Genomic DNA, 18,100 nt, shown 5'->3' with positions numbered 1-18,100 from the left:
GGCTCCAGTTACTTTTTTTTTTTTTTTTTTTTTGAGACAGGGTCTTACTCTGTCACCCAGACTGGGGTGCAGTGGAGCAATCACAGCTCACTGCAGCCTCAACCTCCCTGGGCTCAAAGTGATCCTCCCATCTCAGCCTCCTGAGAGACTGGGACTACAGGTGTGCACCACCACGCCCAGCTAATTTTTTTTTTTTTTGTATTTTGTTTCGCTATTGCCAGGCTGGTCTTGAACTCCTGAGCTAAAGCAATCAGCCCGCCTCAGCCTCCCAAAGTGCTAGTGCTAGGATTACAGGTGTGTGCCACCACACCTGGCCAGGCTCCATTTAATTCTTTTTTTTTGGAGACGGAGTCTCGCTCTTGTCGCCCAGGCTGGAGTACAATGGTATGATCTCGGCTCACTGCAACTTCTGCCTCCTGGGTTCAAGCGATTCTCCTGTCTCAGCCTCTCAAGTAGCTGGGACTACAGGTGCCCACCACCACGCCTGGCTAATTTTTGTATTTTTAGTAGAGACGAGGTTTCACTCTATTGGCCAGGCTGGTCTCGAACTCCTGACCTCAGGTGATCTGCCCACCTCAGCCTCCCAAAGTGCTGGGATTACAGGTGTGAGCCACCATGCCTGGCCAGCTCCATTTACTTCTTGAGAAACTCATGGTTCTCTTTTTAGTCACTTTGGTCACAGAGAGATTATTTAACATCGTTTAATAAAAAAGTAGTAGTGCAAACAGGAAAGTAGCATAAAAATATAGTGTTGTTGTGGAAGGCTGGTGCTTGCTGCTGAGAAGCTGAAGCCAGAGGAGGCCAGGTGTGAGGAAGGAGGATTCTTTAAAGGCAAGAAGAGAGAGGCCTGCCTTTAAGAGCCAAGAGAGCCGCTCATCCATGACCCCAACACAGAGCTCTGTAGAACTGCTGTCACACGCCAAACACCAACATAAGGGGGTGAGAGAATGAACTCCAGCCGCTTCTCCCAACACAACCCAACAGAGCTATTCTGGGACATGTGTGTTTGCGAGCTTGTGTGTGGAGAGCACCAAAAAGCTCATCAGCAGCCCCAGGCCTCTGTGCGGTCTGGTTTTCAGACTGGCACCCGCAGGCAGTGCATCTGAAGCACCTTCTAGTTACTATCCCCATCTGGAATCTTGGTTTTCTCCATTCCATGTCACCTTCTATTGCCAACCCAAGGGTGCCAGTGCCTGTGGGTCTCATTATATGATACTCTCTTCCAGGACTGAATCCGCTAGTCTGGCCAAAAAAAAAGCACTCAGCCACATCCTACTCCCCAATAAATGTCTCTGGGGTCTTCATTTTCTCTTCCGGCTGATCCTCAGTTCATCCAGTTCCTTCTCCATTAAGTGGGATTCAGCAGTGGACTCTGAAAGCTGAAAGTGAAGCAGCGGCTGTTAGCAAGCAGCACATTTCTAGGAAATGTTTCGGGTTAGCAAGGCCGGCCCTACACACGGAGGAAAGGCCCCCTGCCACTTCTCTGATGCTGCTGGCTTCCTCGATGGGAAACCCTCTGTAACTGGGTAGAATGCAACCCCTGATGACCCAGGACCACAAGTACTTGAAGAATATTCACAGTCCACTCTGTCAGCACGCTGTCACCCACGAGGGCATGGCACTCCCTGCACGAAGGAGAGCAGGTCTCAGAGGACGTCAAAGGCAGATACTGGTGATTGTAAGGCTAAGGGATTAGAGCTGAAATTGATTCTAAGCTGTAGCTCCCATAATGGGGATGAGGGGAAAAAATGCTAGAAATAGAATGCCACTTTCCTCCTTAGGGTTTTTTTGTTTTTGTTTTTTGGTTTGTTTGTTTTCTGAGACACGGTCTCGCTCTGTCGGCCAGGCTGGGTGCTTTTCTTGTACTAACTCACTATGAGGTAGATACTACGATTATGCTCATTTTTAAAAAAAAACATCCAGGCCGGGCGTGGTGGCTCATGCCTGTAATCTCAGCACTTTGGGAGGCCAAGACAGGGAGATCACTTGAGGTCAGGCGTTGGAGACCAGCCTGGCCAACATGGTGAAACCCCATCTCTACTAAAAATGCAAAAATTAGCCAAGCGTGGTGGCGGGTGCTAATCAGGAGGCTGATGCAGGAGAATCACTTGAACCCGGGAGGCAGAGGTTGCAGTGGGGCAGTGGGTGGAGATCATGCCACTGTACTCCAGCCCAGGCTACAGAGCGAGACTCTGTCTAAAATAAATAAATAAATAAAAATAAAAATAAAAAAACATCCAGCCTAAAATGTCAGTCTTTTTCTTTTTTTTTTTTCCAAGATGGGGTCTCACTCTGTTGCCCAGGCTAGAGTACAGTGGCGCGATCTCAGCCCACTGCAACCTCCACCTCCCGGGTTCAAGCAATTCTCCTGCCTCAGCCTCCTGAGTAGCTGGGATTATAGGCGCATGCCATCACACCCAGCTAATTTTTGTATTTTTAGTAGAGACAAGGTTTCACCATGTTGGTCAGGCTGGTCTCGAACTCCTGACCTTGTGACCCGTCCACCTTGGCCTCCCAAAATGCTAAGATTACAGGCATGAGCCATCATGCCCAGCCTAGTCCTTTTTTAAAAAAAAAAAAAAGATGGCATCTTACTTTGCAGCCAAGGCTGCTCTCAAACTCCTGAGGTTAAGCCATCCTCCTGTCTTAGCCTCCCAAGTAGCTGGGACTACAGGGGTGCACCACCACAATTAGCTATTATGCCATTTATTGCTGAAGAAATTAAGTTACAGAGCAGTTAGTCAGTAGCAGAGCTGGGTGAGGAACCCAGGCCATTTTGCTCTGGAGTGTGTGCTCTTAACCACTACAGTGTATGCTCTCCTGCCTCTGAACCTTCACAGGCTCCTCTAGGCCCAGTGGGTTGCTGGATTTTTAACAGCCACAAGAAACCAACACTAATGCAGTGTGAGCCCCTCAGCTGGTCTGTACTGGGCACTGATTAATGCCTACTTGGTATGAGACACTTCCAAGCCATGAGCCGGCTCTACCCCTCTTCCTGGAATGCCTTCATCTAACCTCTATTCCTGCCATTATCCTTCCACATTCAGCTCAGATATCCCTTCCTCTGGGAAGCTCTCCCGACTTGACAGAAATAACTTCTCCCTCGTGTGCTGTGCAGATCCTGTGCAGACTCCAACTGGGTCCTTATGTAATTATGCTTACGGTCGGTCCACCTGCCTCTACACTGTGAGGGCAGGAACTGTGTCTTGTTCCTTGCGTGTGGCTTTGGATGCAAAGCAACGTACCTGGCCAAACTGGCATTGAGGAGATATCTGTTGGATTAAGTGACTCGAGGTGGAGCCTCCCCAAAAGGAGAAGCTAGGCCTCTCTTCCCCATCACCTGCCTCACCATGTCTAATAAGATGTCCACTTTCAGCCGCAAGAGATTGTTCTCTTCCTCCAACTGCTGGTTCCGCCTGCGAAGGCGCTGAACCTCCCTCCGGTCCACACCGCCACTAACCCCTGTCTCTGGAGGAAGGACAGAACCAGTTAAAGGGGGATTTCCTCCTACAATCTTGTTTGACAAAATGGCAGGAAGTGCAGCTCACCTGCTATCCACTGGCCATTTTCAAACTTCAGGCTTTGCCCTGCCAGGTTCATAGTCGGGGATCCGTATTCCAAGCCCAGCTCCACCTCCCGGGTTGATCGATCCAACTGTGGGCGAGATGCTATGTGACAACTTCAGCAGGCCCGGAACACGCCTTCATCCCAGCTCCTCTTCCGCCAACAATATGACCCCAACAACTCATTTCTCTAATCATTACTTGGCACCTTTAATGATTTTTTTAAAGCCATAAAATCAAATGATGTACAGGAAAAGTTTAATTGTGAGATAAAAAATATACTGTTTTATACATTAGATGTTTTCCAGAAAAGCTATATATACTGAAATTTATAAATTGAATTATTTTATACCTACTTGACACTTAATAGTTTAAGCAATCCTACTATAAACTGTTAATCAAGTGAAAAATTCTTTTTAAATGTAATAGTCCCCCAAGTTATCATTTGCTTAATATGGAGCTACATATGTTGTGGAAAAGACATAAAATTCTAACAATTAGGAGGAAGAGGAGTTGCTTCTTAACGTGCGACAGTACAATTTACATATTCTATTCTTTTCTTTTCTTTTTTTTTTTTTTTGAGACGGAGTTTCGCTCTTTCACCAAGGCTGGAGTACAGTGGTGCGATCTCAGTTCACTGCAGCCTCCGCCTCCCGGGTTCAAGTGATCCTCCCATCTCGGCCTCTGAATAGCTGGGACTACAGGCATGCACCACCATACCCGGCTAATTTTTGGGGTTTTTTTTGAGACGGAGTCTCACTCTTTCGCCTAGGCTGGAGTGCAGTGGCACAATCTTGGCTCACTGCAACCTCTGCCTCCCAGGTTCAAGCAACTCTTCTGCCTCAGCTTCCCGAGTAGCTGGGACTACAGGCGCACGCCACCACACCTGGCTAATTTTTGTATTTTTTAGTAGAGACAGGGTTTCACCATATTGGCCAGGCTGGTCTCGAACTCCTGACCTTGTGATCCGCCCACCTCAGCCTCCCAAAGTGCTGGGATTATAGACGTGAGCCACCGTGCCCGGCCTAATTTTTGTATTTTTTAAAGTAGAGTCAGAGTTTCGCCACATTGGCCAGGCTGGTCTCAAACTCCTGACCTCAAGTGATGCGCCCACCTCAGCCTCCTAAAGTGCTGGGATTACAGGCATGAGCCACTGCGCCTGGCCTAGATATTCATTTCTACAACTCACTGAGCACCCACCCCGATTCGGGACTCGGTACTGGGTATCCAGGGATGCGTATGACCAGCTCTGCCCTCAATAGCGGCTCAACACAGGGAGACCTTCAGGTAAGTGCTCAAATGTCCCTTTCTCAGTTAGGCCTTCCTGACCACCCTGTTGAAAATGAAAGCTCAGTCCCCAGTGCTCAGCCACACCCCATCCCAGGCCTATGCTTTGTTTTGCTGTCTGGCACATATCACCATCTGATATAAATTTGCTTATTTTCTGTAGCCTTCCGTTAAAGTATCTGCCCCATGAAAGCAGGGATTTGATGTTTTTCTCTCCCCTCCTTCATCCACTTCTGCATGCCCAGTGCTTAGGAGAGTGCCTGGCACATAGAAAGGTATCAATCAATAGCTCTTTAATTAATCTATTCTAGATTCTAGAATTAAACATTCTAGGCAGAAGGAGTAGCGTGCGCAGAGGAGGTTCACACGGGGCTTGGGCGGCTGCAGCACAGGGTGTGCAGAGGGCAAGGGCAGGAAGGAGAGCTGGAGTGAGGCCACCAAGGGTCATTTGTGCTGCTCCCAAGATCTGGGTGGTTATCCTGTAATAACGGGGAACTAATAAAATCCACCAGTGACCATATGGAGCGCTGTGGAGGCCTTACAAGTACCAAGGCTTACAAGTACCTGTCAGCATGTGGAAAACAATGTAGGGGAGGACCGACTTCAAGTCACGGTCAGAGACAGACGTCATGTAAGCACACTGCTGCTCTTACGCTGTGTGGGATTAGGACAGAGGATGTCCTAGAGGGACCGCCAGGTGTATCTGCATCTCTCACACATGGCAGAGAGGAAAGGGAGCCTCAGGCCTAGGGGCACCAGAAACTGAGATCCTAAGCCTCTGCCTGGCCTGCTCCACAGAATGCCCAGCTCTGGCCACAGTGGGGCTGCCCCCACCATGATTTTCACTGGGAACAGGAGACAACAGACTCTTAAGACCTGAAACCTGTAGTGAATGCTCAGCCCCCACAGCCTTGTTGTTCAACCCCACTCGCCTTCTGTGAAGACATGGCCAGTCTGCATAGCTAGCTCTGTAGGAAAAGGTCACAGAATAAAGTAGAAGTCAAATTGGATGATACTGGCTGGGCACAGTGGCTCACACCTGTAATCCTAGCACTTGGGGAGGCCAAGGCGGGTGGATCACCTGAGATCAGCAGTTCGAGACCAGCCTGGCCAACATGGTGAAACCCTGTCTCTACTAAAAGTACAAAAATTAGCCGGGCATGGTGGCGGGCAGTTGTAATCCCAGCTACTCAGGAGGCTGAGGAAGGAGAATCGCTTGAACCCGGGAGGTGGAGGTTGCAGTGAGTCAAGATCGCGCCACTGCACCCTAGCCTGTGGGACGGGAGTGAGACTCCATCTCAAAAAAGAAAAAAAAAATTTGGATATTTGGGGTCAAATATCATAATGAGATTGTCTTCTTAGGTTCTTGGATAAACAAGCTCTGACGATCATTCCCAAACAAGAGTTCAAAAATGTTTTCCGCAATAGCAATGATATGGACGGAAAGGATGCCCTCCTGCACTGATGCCTCTGGAGGACCACACTTTCCATTCAGAGACACGCTCAGCACTCAACTCATGCTGCACACCCGGCCGACCCCAGTACCGACACTCACAGAATGCAGGTTGGAGAGAGATGCCGACTTCCGAGGAGGTGTCTTCTTCGGACTGAACGTATTCCCAAAGAAAGGCATCTTTGGCCTGATGAAAGCAAAGCCAGTGCTCCCTTCTCCTAGGGTCAGAAAAAGTCAGGGGTACAAGCAGCTGGATCACTGACCTTATGCCATTGTCTTCAAATCTTGAAGACATACATTTTATCATGTGGCTACTAACGATCCTGGTGCTATGGTTTGAATGTCCCCACCAAAACTCATGTTGAAATTGAATTGCCATTGTTTAACAGTATAAGGGGTGACTGGGCCATGTGAGCTCTGCTCTCATGAATGGATTAATGCCATTGTCATGGAGTAGGTTAGTTTTCTCTGGCGTGGGCTCCTGGCAAAAGGATGAGTTCTGCTGCCATGCTGTCTGTCTCATGCACTTGCTCACCATGTGAGCCTTCTGCCTCACACAGGATGACCCTCACCAGATACTTGCACCATGCTCTTGGACTTCCCAGTCTCCAGAACTGTGAGCCAAATAAACTTCTTTTCTTTATAAATTACCCAGTCTGTGGTAATCTGTAACAGCAGCACAAAATGGATTAAGACGCCTGGTAATAGCTCCCATGTGCTGAACGCTCCCTTTGTGCTACGCGGTATGCTAAGATTTTTTGGGTGGCACACAGTGGCGCATGCCTGTAGTCCCAATTACTTGGGAAGCTGAGGCTGGGGGGTCGCTGGAGCCCAGGGAGGTTGAGGCTGCAGTGAGCTGTGGTCCACTGCTGCTCTCCAGTCTAGGCTACAGAATGAGAGACCATGTCTCAAAAAAAAAAAGTTAGCCTGGCATGGTGGCACACAACTACAGTCTCAGTGACTCAGGAGGCTGAGGTAGGCAGATCACTTGAGCCCAGGAGTTTAAGACCAGCCTGGCCAACATGGCAAAACTCTGTCTCTACAAAAAATACAAAAATTAGCCAGGTATGGTGGTGCGTGCCTGTAGTCTCAGCTATTCAGTAGGCTTAGGTGGGAGGATCACTTGAACCTATGAGTCTGAGCCTCCAGTGAGCTATGATCATGCCACTGCACTCCAGCCTGAGTCAAAGAGCATTACCCTGTCTCTAAAAAAAAAAAAATAAAGAAAGAAATGGCTGGGCACGGTGGCTCATATCTGTAATCCCAGCACTTTGGGAGGCCGAGGCGGGCAAATCAAGAGGTCAGGAGTTTGAGACCAGCCTGGCCAACGTGGTGAAACCCTGTCTCTACTAAAAATACAAAAAATTAGCTGGGCATAGTGGCGGGTGCCTGTAATCCCAGCTAGTTGGGAGGCTGAGGCAGGAAAATTGCTTGAACCCAGGAGGCAGAGGTTGCAGTGAGCCGAGATTGCGCCACTGCACTCCAGCCTGGGTGACAGAGCAAGACTCTGTCTCAAAAATAAATTAAAAAAATAAATAAATAAATGAGTAAAGCTATGCTTATATTTCCTTTCCAGATTGATAACAGTGCTCCTCACTTGTCACCAGTGTCACTTGTCAACAGTGCACCTCATATGTCACGTTACCTGTTCTGTTATGGAAGGTGACGTGAGGTGTCCTGAAAAGGGGGCAGGTCCACGACATGGCGGAGCTGACAACAACACCCCCCCAACCTGTACATTTGCTTTTAGCATAATGCAACCTATTGCAATTCACCTAGGCCTAGTTAAGTAGATTTCCTGATAACACCCTGGTTTTTGGGGAGAAAAGGAGGGGAGAAGCAAACTTTTTATTTAGGCTGGGAGCAGTGGCTCACACCTGTAATCCTAGCACTTTGGGAGGCCAGGGAGGGAGGATTACTTGAGCACAGGAGTTCAAGACCAGCCTGGGCAACTTAGCAGGGCCCGTCTCTACCAAAAAAAGGTTAAAAAAGAAAAAAAAATATATATATATATAACATTAATACAGAAAAGTCTACCACAAATCATAAGTGTAAGGTTTCATGAGTTTTTACTACACAAGTATAACCACCCTCCAGGGCCAGGCGTGGTGGTTTATACCTGAAATCCCAGCACTTTGGGAGGCCAAGGTGAGAGGATTGCTTGAGCCCAAGAGTTCAAGACCAGCCTGAGTGACACAGCGAGACCCCCATCTCTAAAAAAATTAAAATCAAGTATTTTTTAAATTTTATTTTTTATTTATGATTTTTTTTTTTGAGACAGAGCCCTGCTCTGTGCCTCAGCCTTGTAAATAGCTGGGATTACAGGTGTGTGCCACCATGCCCAGCTAATTTTTGTATTTTTAGTAGAGACAGGGTTTTACCATGTTGGCCAGGCTGGTCTCGAACTCCTGACCTCAAGTGACCTGCCCACCTTGGCCTCCCAAAGTGCTGGAATTACAGGTGTGAACCAACGCACTGGCTCAAAACATTTTTTTAAAACCACCCTCCAGATTGGGATACAGAGCATTTCAGCACTCCATAAGCCTCACCTGGCCACTGTACATGCACAGAATTGCACAGTGAGTCCTCGTTTGCATCTGGCTTCTCACACTCAACGTCATGTTTCTGACATTTATCCATGCAGCTGTGTGTAGTTATAGTTTGTTCATTTGCATTGCTGGATAATATTCTATTGTATAAACACAGCAAAATTTACTTGTCTACAGAAGATGGACATTTGAGCTGTTTGCAGTTTTGTTTTGTGTTTCTTGAGACAGGGTCTCGTTCTGGTCCCCCAGGTTGGAGTGCAGTGGTACCATCTCTGTTCACTGTAGCCTCAACCTCCCAGGCTCAGGTGATCCTCCCATCTCAGCCTCATGGGTAGCTGGGACTATAGGCACGCACCACCATGCTGGCTAATTTTCTGCATTTTTAATAGAGATGGGAGTTTCGTCATGTTGCCTAGTCTGGTCTTGAACTCTTGGGCTCACGTGATCTGCCTGCCTCAGCCTCCCAAAATGCTGGAATTACAGGTATGAACCACCACACCCGGCCTGTTTCCAGTTTTTGACCACCAAAAATAGTGCTGCTAGGCCAGGCATGGTGGCTTATGCCAGTAATCCTAGCACTTTGGGAGGCCAAGACAGGAGGATCACTTGATGCCAGGAGTTCAAGACCAGCCTAGGCAACATAATGAGACCTCATCTCTACAAAAAATTGAAAAATCAGCCAGGCGTGGTGGTGTACCCTTGTAGTCCTAGCTACTCAGGAGGCTGAGGTGGAAGGATTGCTTCAGCCCAGGAGTTTGAGGCTGCAGTGAGCTGTGATCACCACTGCACACTTCAGTCTGGGCAACAGAGCAAGACCCTGTCTCAAGAAAAAAAAAAACTACTGCTAAGAACATAAGACTTGAGCATGTATATCTACATGCATATGTACACTTTTCTGGTTCCATACTTAGGGGTATAACTATAGAGTCACAGAGCATTCATATATTTAGCTTTAACAGATTCTGCCAAATGGTTTTCCAAAGTCATTGTACCAATTTAGACTCCTATCTGTAGTTTGCAAGAGATCCTTGTCAATATCTGGCACTTTCTTTTTCATCTTTTCCATTCTGGCAGGTATGTAATGGTGTTGCATTGTTTAATTTGCTTTTCCCAAATAACTAATTAAGTTGAGCATCATTTAACATACTCCTTGGACATATATGGATTTTTTTGTGGCATGCTTATTCATGTATTTTGCTTTTTTTTTTTTTTTTTGAGATGGAGTCTCCCTCTGTCATCGGGCTGGAGTGCAGTGGCACAATCTCAGCTCACTGCAACCTCTGCCTCCCAGGTTCAAGTGATTCTCCTGCCTCAGCCTCCCGAGTAACTGGGATTACAGGAACACACCACCATGCCCAGCTAATTTTTGTATTTTTAATAGAGACAGGGTTTCGCTATGCTGGCCAGGCTTGTCTCGAACTCCTGACCTCAAGCAATCTGCCCGCCACAGCCTCCCAAAGTGCTAGGATTATAGGCATGAGCCACCGCGCCCAGCCCTCTTTTGCCATTTTTTAAAATTGAGCTGTCTATCATGTTCATTTTGTAAGGGTTTGTAAGGGTATTTATATACGCTGGATACAAGTTTCACTACTGTATATATGTACAGTACTGAAAATATCTTCTCCCACTTTTTTCTTTTTGCTTTCTCCTTCTTTTTTTTTTTTGAAACACAGTCTCGCTCTGTCACCCAGGCTGGAGTGCAGTGGTGCTATCTTGGCTCACTGCAACCTCTGCCTCCCAGGTTCAAGAGATTCTCCTGTCTCAACCTCCCAAGTAGCTGGGATTACACACACCTGCCACTAAACCCAGCTAATTTTTGTGTTTTTAGTAGAGATGGGGTTTTGCCATGTTGGCCAGGCTGGTCTCGAACTCCTGACCTCAAGTGATCCACCCACCTCCGCCTCCTAAAGTGCTGGAATTACAGTCATGAGCCACTGCGCCCGACCTCTTTTTGCTTTCTTTTTTTTTCCTTTTTTTTTTTTTTTTTTGGAGACAGAGTTTCGCTCTTGTGGCCCAGGCTGAAGTGCAATGGCGCCATCTCAGCACACCGCAACCTCCACCTCCCGGGTTCAAGTGATTCTCCTGCCTCAGCTTCCCAAGTAGCTGAGATTACAGGCATGCGCCACCACGCCCGGCTAATTTTTGTATTTTTAGTAGAGACAGGGTTTCTCTATGTTGGTCAGGCTGGTCTCGAACTCCCAACCTCAGGTGATCCACCCACCTCAGCCTCCCAAAGTGCTGGGATTACAGGTGTGGGCCACCGCGTCCGGCCTCTTTTTGCTTTCTTAATGCAACCTCCGCCTCCCGGGTTCAAGCGATTCTCCTGCTTCAGCCTCCCAGGTAGCTAGGACTATAGGCACGCACCACCACATCCAGCTAATTTGTGTATTTTTAGTAGAGACGGGGTTTCACCATGTTGGCCAGGATGGTCTCAATCTCTTGACCTCGTGATCCACCTGCCTCGGCCTCCCAAAGTGCTGAGATTACAGGTGTGAGCCACAGCTCCCAGCCAGAAGTTCTTAATTATAATGAAATCCAATTATTTATTTATTTATTTATTTATTTTGAGATCAAGTCTTACTCTGTCGCCCAGGCTGGAGGGCAGTGATGTGATCTCAGCTGACTGCAACCTCTGCTTCCTGGGTTCAAGCAATTCTCCTGCCTCAGCCTCCTGAGTAGCTGGGATTACAGGCGCCTGCCACCACACCCAACTAATGTTTGTACTTTTAGCAGAGATGGTGTTTCGCCATGTTGGCCAGGCTGGTCTTGAATTCCTGACCTCCCAAAGTGCTGGGATTACAGGCATAAGCCACTGCACCCAGCCCAATTTATTATTATTTCTTAATGATTAGTGCTTGTATTGTATTTTTAAAATGTTTGCCTACCCCAGGCTGGGTATGGTGCCTCATGCCTATAAATCCTAGCACTTTGGGAGGCAGAGGCAGGCAAATAACTTGAGTCCAGGAGTTCAAGACCATCCTGGGCAACATGGCAAACAAAACCCTGTCTCTACCAAAGATACAAAAAATTAGCTGGGCATGGTGGTGTACGCCTGTGGTCCCAGCTATTCAGGAGGCAGAGGTGGGAGGATTGCTTGCGCCCAGGAGCCAGAGGTTGCAGTGAGCTGAGATTATGACACTGCACTCCAGCTTGGGTGACAGAGTGAGATCCTGTCCCCCGCCCCCCAAAAAAAATTGCCTACCCCAAGGTCATGATGATATTTTCTGTTAACTTCTGGTAATATTATTGTTTGCATTTCACATTTGTGACTATAATTCATCTTGAATTAATATTTGTATATGATGTAAAACAGGGGTTAGTGTTCTTTTTTTCCCCATATATCACCCAATTTTTTATTTTATTTATTTATTTATTTTTTTTTTTGAGACAGAGTCTCATTCTGTTGCCCAGGCTAGAGTGCAGTGGCGTGATCTCGGCTCACTGCAGCCTCAACCTCCCAGGTTCAAGCGATTCTCCCACCTCAGCTTCCCAAGTAGCTGAGATCACAGGCACGCGCCACTAGGCCCAGCTAATTTTTGTGTCTTTTGTAGAGACGGGGTTTCGCCATGTTGCCCAGGCTGGTCACGAACTCCTGAGCTCAAGCGACTGGCCCAACTTGGCCTCTCAAAGTGCTGGGATTACAGGCCTGAGCCACCACGCCTGGCCTATATTATTCAATTTTAATTTATATCACGCACACAGCTTACAAAGAATCCTTCTAAGAAGCCATAGACTGAAGAGAACAACAATGACGGCACAAGTGAGCAAAAAGAAAACAGCCGACCTCTCACTGCTCCTCCTGGGCGTAAGGTCTTCCTTCACTACATTATGAAATAAAAGCAGTAACGGGTTAACTGGATCTGACAAGAAATGGGCCAAAAAAGGCAGGAGGAGGGGTTGGTATCTTTTCAAGACTATTTGAAACAAGGTTTTATATCCATTATCATTAAAAGAGAATTCAAAGTATGAATCCATCACAATCAGCAAGATATGTATCCAATGAGAACAGGAAAAAAAACTTCCAGGCTGTTTTCATTAAGGGAGAAATTGATCTCACTAAAATTAATGATAAAAGTTAAGAAGCTTCTTTGGAATGTATGTAAAACATACAATACATAAGTATATGTATATGTAATTTATAAATAAATGAAGGTATTTGGGGTTATGTGCTCATGACAGCTTTCCTGGTAGTTACGTGTTTGAATTAAAAACAATCATACAGTGGCTCACGCCTGTAATCCCAGCACTTTGGGAGGCCAAGGCAGGTGGATCACCTGAGGTCAGAAGTTCGAGACCAGTCTGGCCAACATGGTGAAACCCTGTCTCTACTAAAAATGTACAAAAATTAGCCGGGAGTGGTGGTGCTCACCTGTAATCCCAACTGCCTGGGAGGCTGAGGCACAAGAAACGCTTGAACCTGGGAGGCGGAGGTTGCGGTGAGCCGAGAACACACCACTGCGCTCCAGCCTGGGTGACAGAACGAGACTCTGTCTCAAAAATAAAATAAACTAAAATAAAATCATAAAAATAAAAAGAATCATAGACCAGCAACTTAGGGGATGGCATTTGGGCCTGGGCACAGCACTTTAGAACTTGGACAAACCAGAGTGCTTCCAGCTTGGTAGTGGAGGGGACGGGGTGGGGACCAAGATGCAGAGGGGGGTTGATGCTATGTCACCATCCAAAACACATTGTAAGGCCCTGGCACTGTTTCTGCTGGAGAAGAGAAAGAGGTTAGAAGAGGGAAAAGCATTAATCTTATGTCTGTAATCTTATGTAAAGGACAGAACAAAAATAAAATAGGAATATCCATGAATAAAGTTCTGGAGACTGAGGCAGGAGAATCGCTTGAACCCAGGAGGTGGAGGCTGCGGTGAGGGAGATCGTGTCATTGCGCTCCAGCCTGGGCAACAAGAGTGAAACTCCGTCTCAAAAATAAATAAATAAATAAAGATGAAAATGCTAGGGTTTGGGGTAGTTTCCCAATTTTCCCAAGGTGCATAGCCATGATCAGTTGGCTGAAGGTGTATATGCGTCTGCGTGTGTGTGTGTGTGTGTGTGTATGTACCTGTACACACACATATATGGTATACGTGTATATACATATGGTGTGTGTGTGTCTATATACACATGTATATACTTATCCTTGTATTAGTAACATGTGAGGCACATCATTAAAAGATGCATTTTCGGCCTGGTGTGGTGGCTCATGCCTGTAATCCCAGCACTTTGGGAGGCCGAGGCAGGTGGATCACTTGAGGTCAGGAGTTCAGGACCAGCCTGGCCAACACAGTGAAACCCCGTCTCTACTAAAAACACAAAAATTAGCCAGGCGCGGTGGCATGAGCCTGTAATCCCAGCTACTCGGGGGGCTGAGACAGGAGAATCACTTGAACCTGGGAGGCAGAGGTTGCAGTGAGCCAAGATCACGCCACTGCACTCCAGCCTGGGTGACAGAGCAACACTCCATCTCAAAAAAAAAAAGTTAAAAAAATGCATTTTCACTCATCATATTGGCAAAAATTAAAAAGATGAATAATACCCATGGTTGATGAGGATGTGAAGAAAAAGACACTGTTATTACTGGTGGAATCAGAAGATGCTATAATTCTTTCAAGGGCACTCAAAACTTGGCAAAATTGTCAATGTGTACACTTTTTGGACAGCAACTCTACTTCTAAAATTTTACACTCCAGAAAGACTTGGACATGCTCACACCCAATGTTCTCTATTGTTGATAACAGTAAAAAATAAGAAACAATCCAAACAATTTGGGTGTAGCCAAATAATTTGTGGCACATTCTTTTTTTTTTTTTTTTTTTTTGAGACAGAGTCTCACTCTGTCGCCCGGGCTGGAGTGCAGTGGTGCGATGTCGGCTCACTGCAAGCTCCGCCTCCCAGGTTCACACCATTCTCCCGCCTCAGCCTCCCGAGTAGCTGGGACTACAGGCGCCTGCCACCACACCTGGGCAATTTTTTGTATTTTTAGTAGAGATGGGGTTTCACCGTGTTAGCCAGGATGGTCTCGATCTCCTGACCTTGTGATCTGCCCGCCTTGGCCTCCCAAAGTGCTGGGACGACAGGTGTGAGCCACCGTGCCCGGCCAGCACATTCTTATAATAAAATTGTGGGCCTAAGCCGGGCACGGTGGCTCATGCCTATAATCTCAGCACTTTCGGAGGCTGAGGCAGGTGGATCACTTGAGGTCAGGAGTTTGAGACCAGCCTGGCCAACATGATGAAACCCTGTCACTACTAAAAAATACAAAAATTAGCCAGGTGTGGTGGCACACGCCTGTAATCCCAGCTACTCAGAAGGCTGAGGCTTGAACCCAGCAGGCAGAGGTTGCAGTGAGCTGAGATTGTGCCACTGTATTCTAGCCTGGGCGACGGAGCAAGACTCTGTCTCAAAAAAAAACAAAAAACAAACAAACAAAAAAAACCAATTGTAGGCCAGGTACAGTGGCTCACACCTGTAATCCCAGCACTTTGGGAGGCCAAGGCAGGCAGATCACTTGACGCCAGGAGTTCGAGACCAGCCTGGCCAACATGGCAAAACCGCATTTCTACTAAAAATACAAAAATTAGCCCAGTATGTTGGCGTGCGCCTGTAATCTCAGCTACTCAGGAGGCTGAGGCATGCGAATTGCTTGAACCCAGGAGGCAGAGGTTGCAGTGAGCAGAAATTGCGCCACTGCACTCCAGCCTGGACAACAAAGTGAGACTATATCTCAAAAAATAAAAATAAAAATAAAAATAAAATTGTAAATAGCAATTAAAGACAGTGAGATAGCTGTATATGAACTAACCTGAAAGACTTCTGACATGCTTTAACACTGCGAAAGCAGGTTGCAGAATGATGTGTATGGTATTTCCCCCATATGATAAGACAAAGTGAAAATAAAAGAATAGGCCGGGCGTGGTGGCTCACGCCTGTCATCCCAGCACTTTGGGAGGCCGAGGCGGGCGGATCACGAGGTCAGGAGATGGAGACCACTCTGGCTAACACAGTGAAACCCCGTCTCTACTAAAAATACAAAAAATTAGCCTGGCATGGTGGCAGGAGCCTGTAGTCCCATCTATTCGTAGTCCCAGCTACTCAGAAGGCTGAGGCAGGACAATGGTGTGAACCCAGGAGGCAGAGCTTGCAGTGAGCCGAGATCGCACCACTGCACTCCAGCCTGGGCAACAGAGTCAGACTCCATCTCAAAAAAAAATAAAATAAAATAAAGTAATATATGTGTGTATTAAAAAAAAGAAAGAGGCCAGGTACGGTGGCTTATGCCTGTAATCCCAGCACTTTGGGAGGCCGAGTTGGGCAGATCACGAGGTCAAGAGATCGAGACTATCCTGGCCAACATGGTGAAACCCTGTTTCTACTAAAAATACAAAAATTAGTCGGGTGTGGTGGTGTGCGCCAGTTGTCCCAGATACTCAGGAGGCTGAGGCAGGATAATTGCTTGAACCCAGGAGGCAGAGGTTGCAGTGAGCTGAAATTGCACCACTGCTTTCTAGCCTGGGTGACAGAACAAGACCCCATCTCAAAGAAAAAAAAAATAGAAAAGAAAGAAAGAGATCTGGAAGGATACACCAAACTGTTCATAGTGGTTAAACCTGAAAAAGGGAATAGGATGACTGACTTGAATGAACTTGTCATTTTATAGGTTAAAAAAAGGTCAAATTGTGACAATTTCATATGGTACAATATAAAATTATATTAAATATACTCGAGATTTAATGAATTATTACAATGAGAATATATTCATGTATTACTTATGAACAAAATAAACAAAACACAGTTAAGAAGCAGCCCCCAGCATGCCTAAAATCTAGAGACATTTGAAGAAGGAGAAATAAGTCAAGTCCCCACTGATGCTAACTGCACTGGGCCTGAGCACATGGGCTGGACACAACAAGTTTAGGGGCCTGGCTCTCCCCTTCAGTTGCCTGCTAGACCTTGGCCCAGCTGCTTTACTTCTCGGGCTTTAACTGGGCACCTTACTCATGACCGCACTAATTCTCATAACACTACAGCTGGGAGCTGTCATCCATGTATTACAGATGAGGAAGGGTCTGGATTAGCTACCTTTTAAGTCAGATCTAATAATCCACAAACAGCTCAGCTGAGATCCTGGGATTCTGGGGCATCCGCGTGCACTTGAGATACAAGCTGTCCCACTGGCCCATGGCAACCTTCTTTCTAGTGAAACTCCCAGGGCGAGCGTGCTCCGCACACAGGAAGTGAAGGGGGAGCACCTGGCTTCCAATGATCACTCTGCGGCTCACCCACAGTGGGACCCCAGCATTTATCCCCCTTGGACTTCGGCTTCTTTCTTTGCACTGAGGAATAATAATAGTACCTGGCTCACAAGATGTTATAGTGTTTTAGTGTTTATAGGAAGCTGTGCACTTGATCCTCACAACGACCCTGGGAAGAGGATCGAGTAAGTAGAGCCTTCCCAGTCCACAGATACTGATACTAATCACTAATCATTGTGTAAAGGTTTTCCGTTTGCAACAGGCCATAAAATATATTATCTTACTTTAATTCTAAGAAAACAAGGGCGGAATCTCTGGTTTTCATCGGATTCTCAAAGATATACGTGTCCCCCAAGGAGTTCAGAGGTAGCCATGTTACGCAGATGCACGGCCCCCAGGGCTGTCGGACTCAAGTAACAGCTGTCAACAAACGTTCACACGCACGATCTCATGCAATCATCTTCACGGCGACCTACGGGGAGGAATTACCGCCCCAATTCACAACCGCGGAGACACACAGAGGAGGGCGGCCACCGCCCGGGGTCGCCCGGCCTCCGTCCCCTTCCCCAGGCCCTCCTGAAGCCTCTCTCCAGGCGAGGCCCGGACGTCCTACTCAGCTCGGGCCCCCGAGTGAACCCAGGCAGCGCTGGCCGGCGACGCCGGACTCGGAGACGTACCTGACGCGTCCCAGAAGCCGGGGTCCAAGCGCTCCCCGAACCCCCAGCAAGGACTCTGTAGCCCAGAGTTACCTTGACCCACCCGCCTCCTGCCGCCTGCCCGCCACGCGCATGCGCTGCCCCGCCCGGCCTCTACCACCGAGGAAAGGGGTAACCGGCGCGGGGGTTCCCAGCGCCAGCCTGCGCCAATCCCCAGAAACTCCGTGAATCACCTCGGGATAGCAAACGGATTATACAAAGGCAGTGTCTTCTGGGGTCCTTTTCATGCCTCTAGGACCAGGACCTGCATTCACCCTCTCCACTGACACATTGG

The 18,100-nt window shown here is 47.4% G+C and overlaps 1 protein-coding gene across 2 annotated transcripts; it reads right to left on the bottom strand.

The window, feature by feature from the left end:
- CBY1 (chibby 1, beta catenin antagonist) lies at nt 688-17,900 on the bottom strand. Of its 2 annotated transcripts, NM_001002880.4 has the most exons (6): nt 17,788-17,900; nt 8,853-8,992; nt 6,406-6,521; nt 3,549-3,654; nt 3,350-3,468; nt 688-1,379 (listed from the first exon to the last, which is right to left on the bottom strand). In NM_001002880.4, the coding sequence occupies exons 3-6, from the start codon at nt 6,481-6,483 to the stop codon at nt 1,302-1,304; spliced, it is 381 nt and encodes a 126-aa protein (NP_001002880.3). In that variant the 5' UTR covers nt 6,484-6,521; nt 8,853-8,992; nt 17,788-17,900; the 3' UTR covers nt 688-1,301. The 2 variants fall into 2 exon arrangements, with proteins under 2 accessions (NP_001002880.3, NP_056188.1); NM_015373.4 differs by lacking the exon at nt 8,853-8,992.

The sequence above is a fragment of the Homo sapiens genome, chromosome 22 (assembly GCF_000001405.40).
Source record: "Homo sapiens chromosome 22, GRCh38.p14 Primary Assembly".
Classification (NCBI taxonomy): Eukaryota; Metazoa; Chordata; class Mammalia; order Primates; family Hominidae; genus Homo; species Homo sapiens.
Note: the sequence above shows the minus strand (reverse complement) of the source record. Positions and strands in the feature narration are given on the sequence as shown.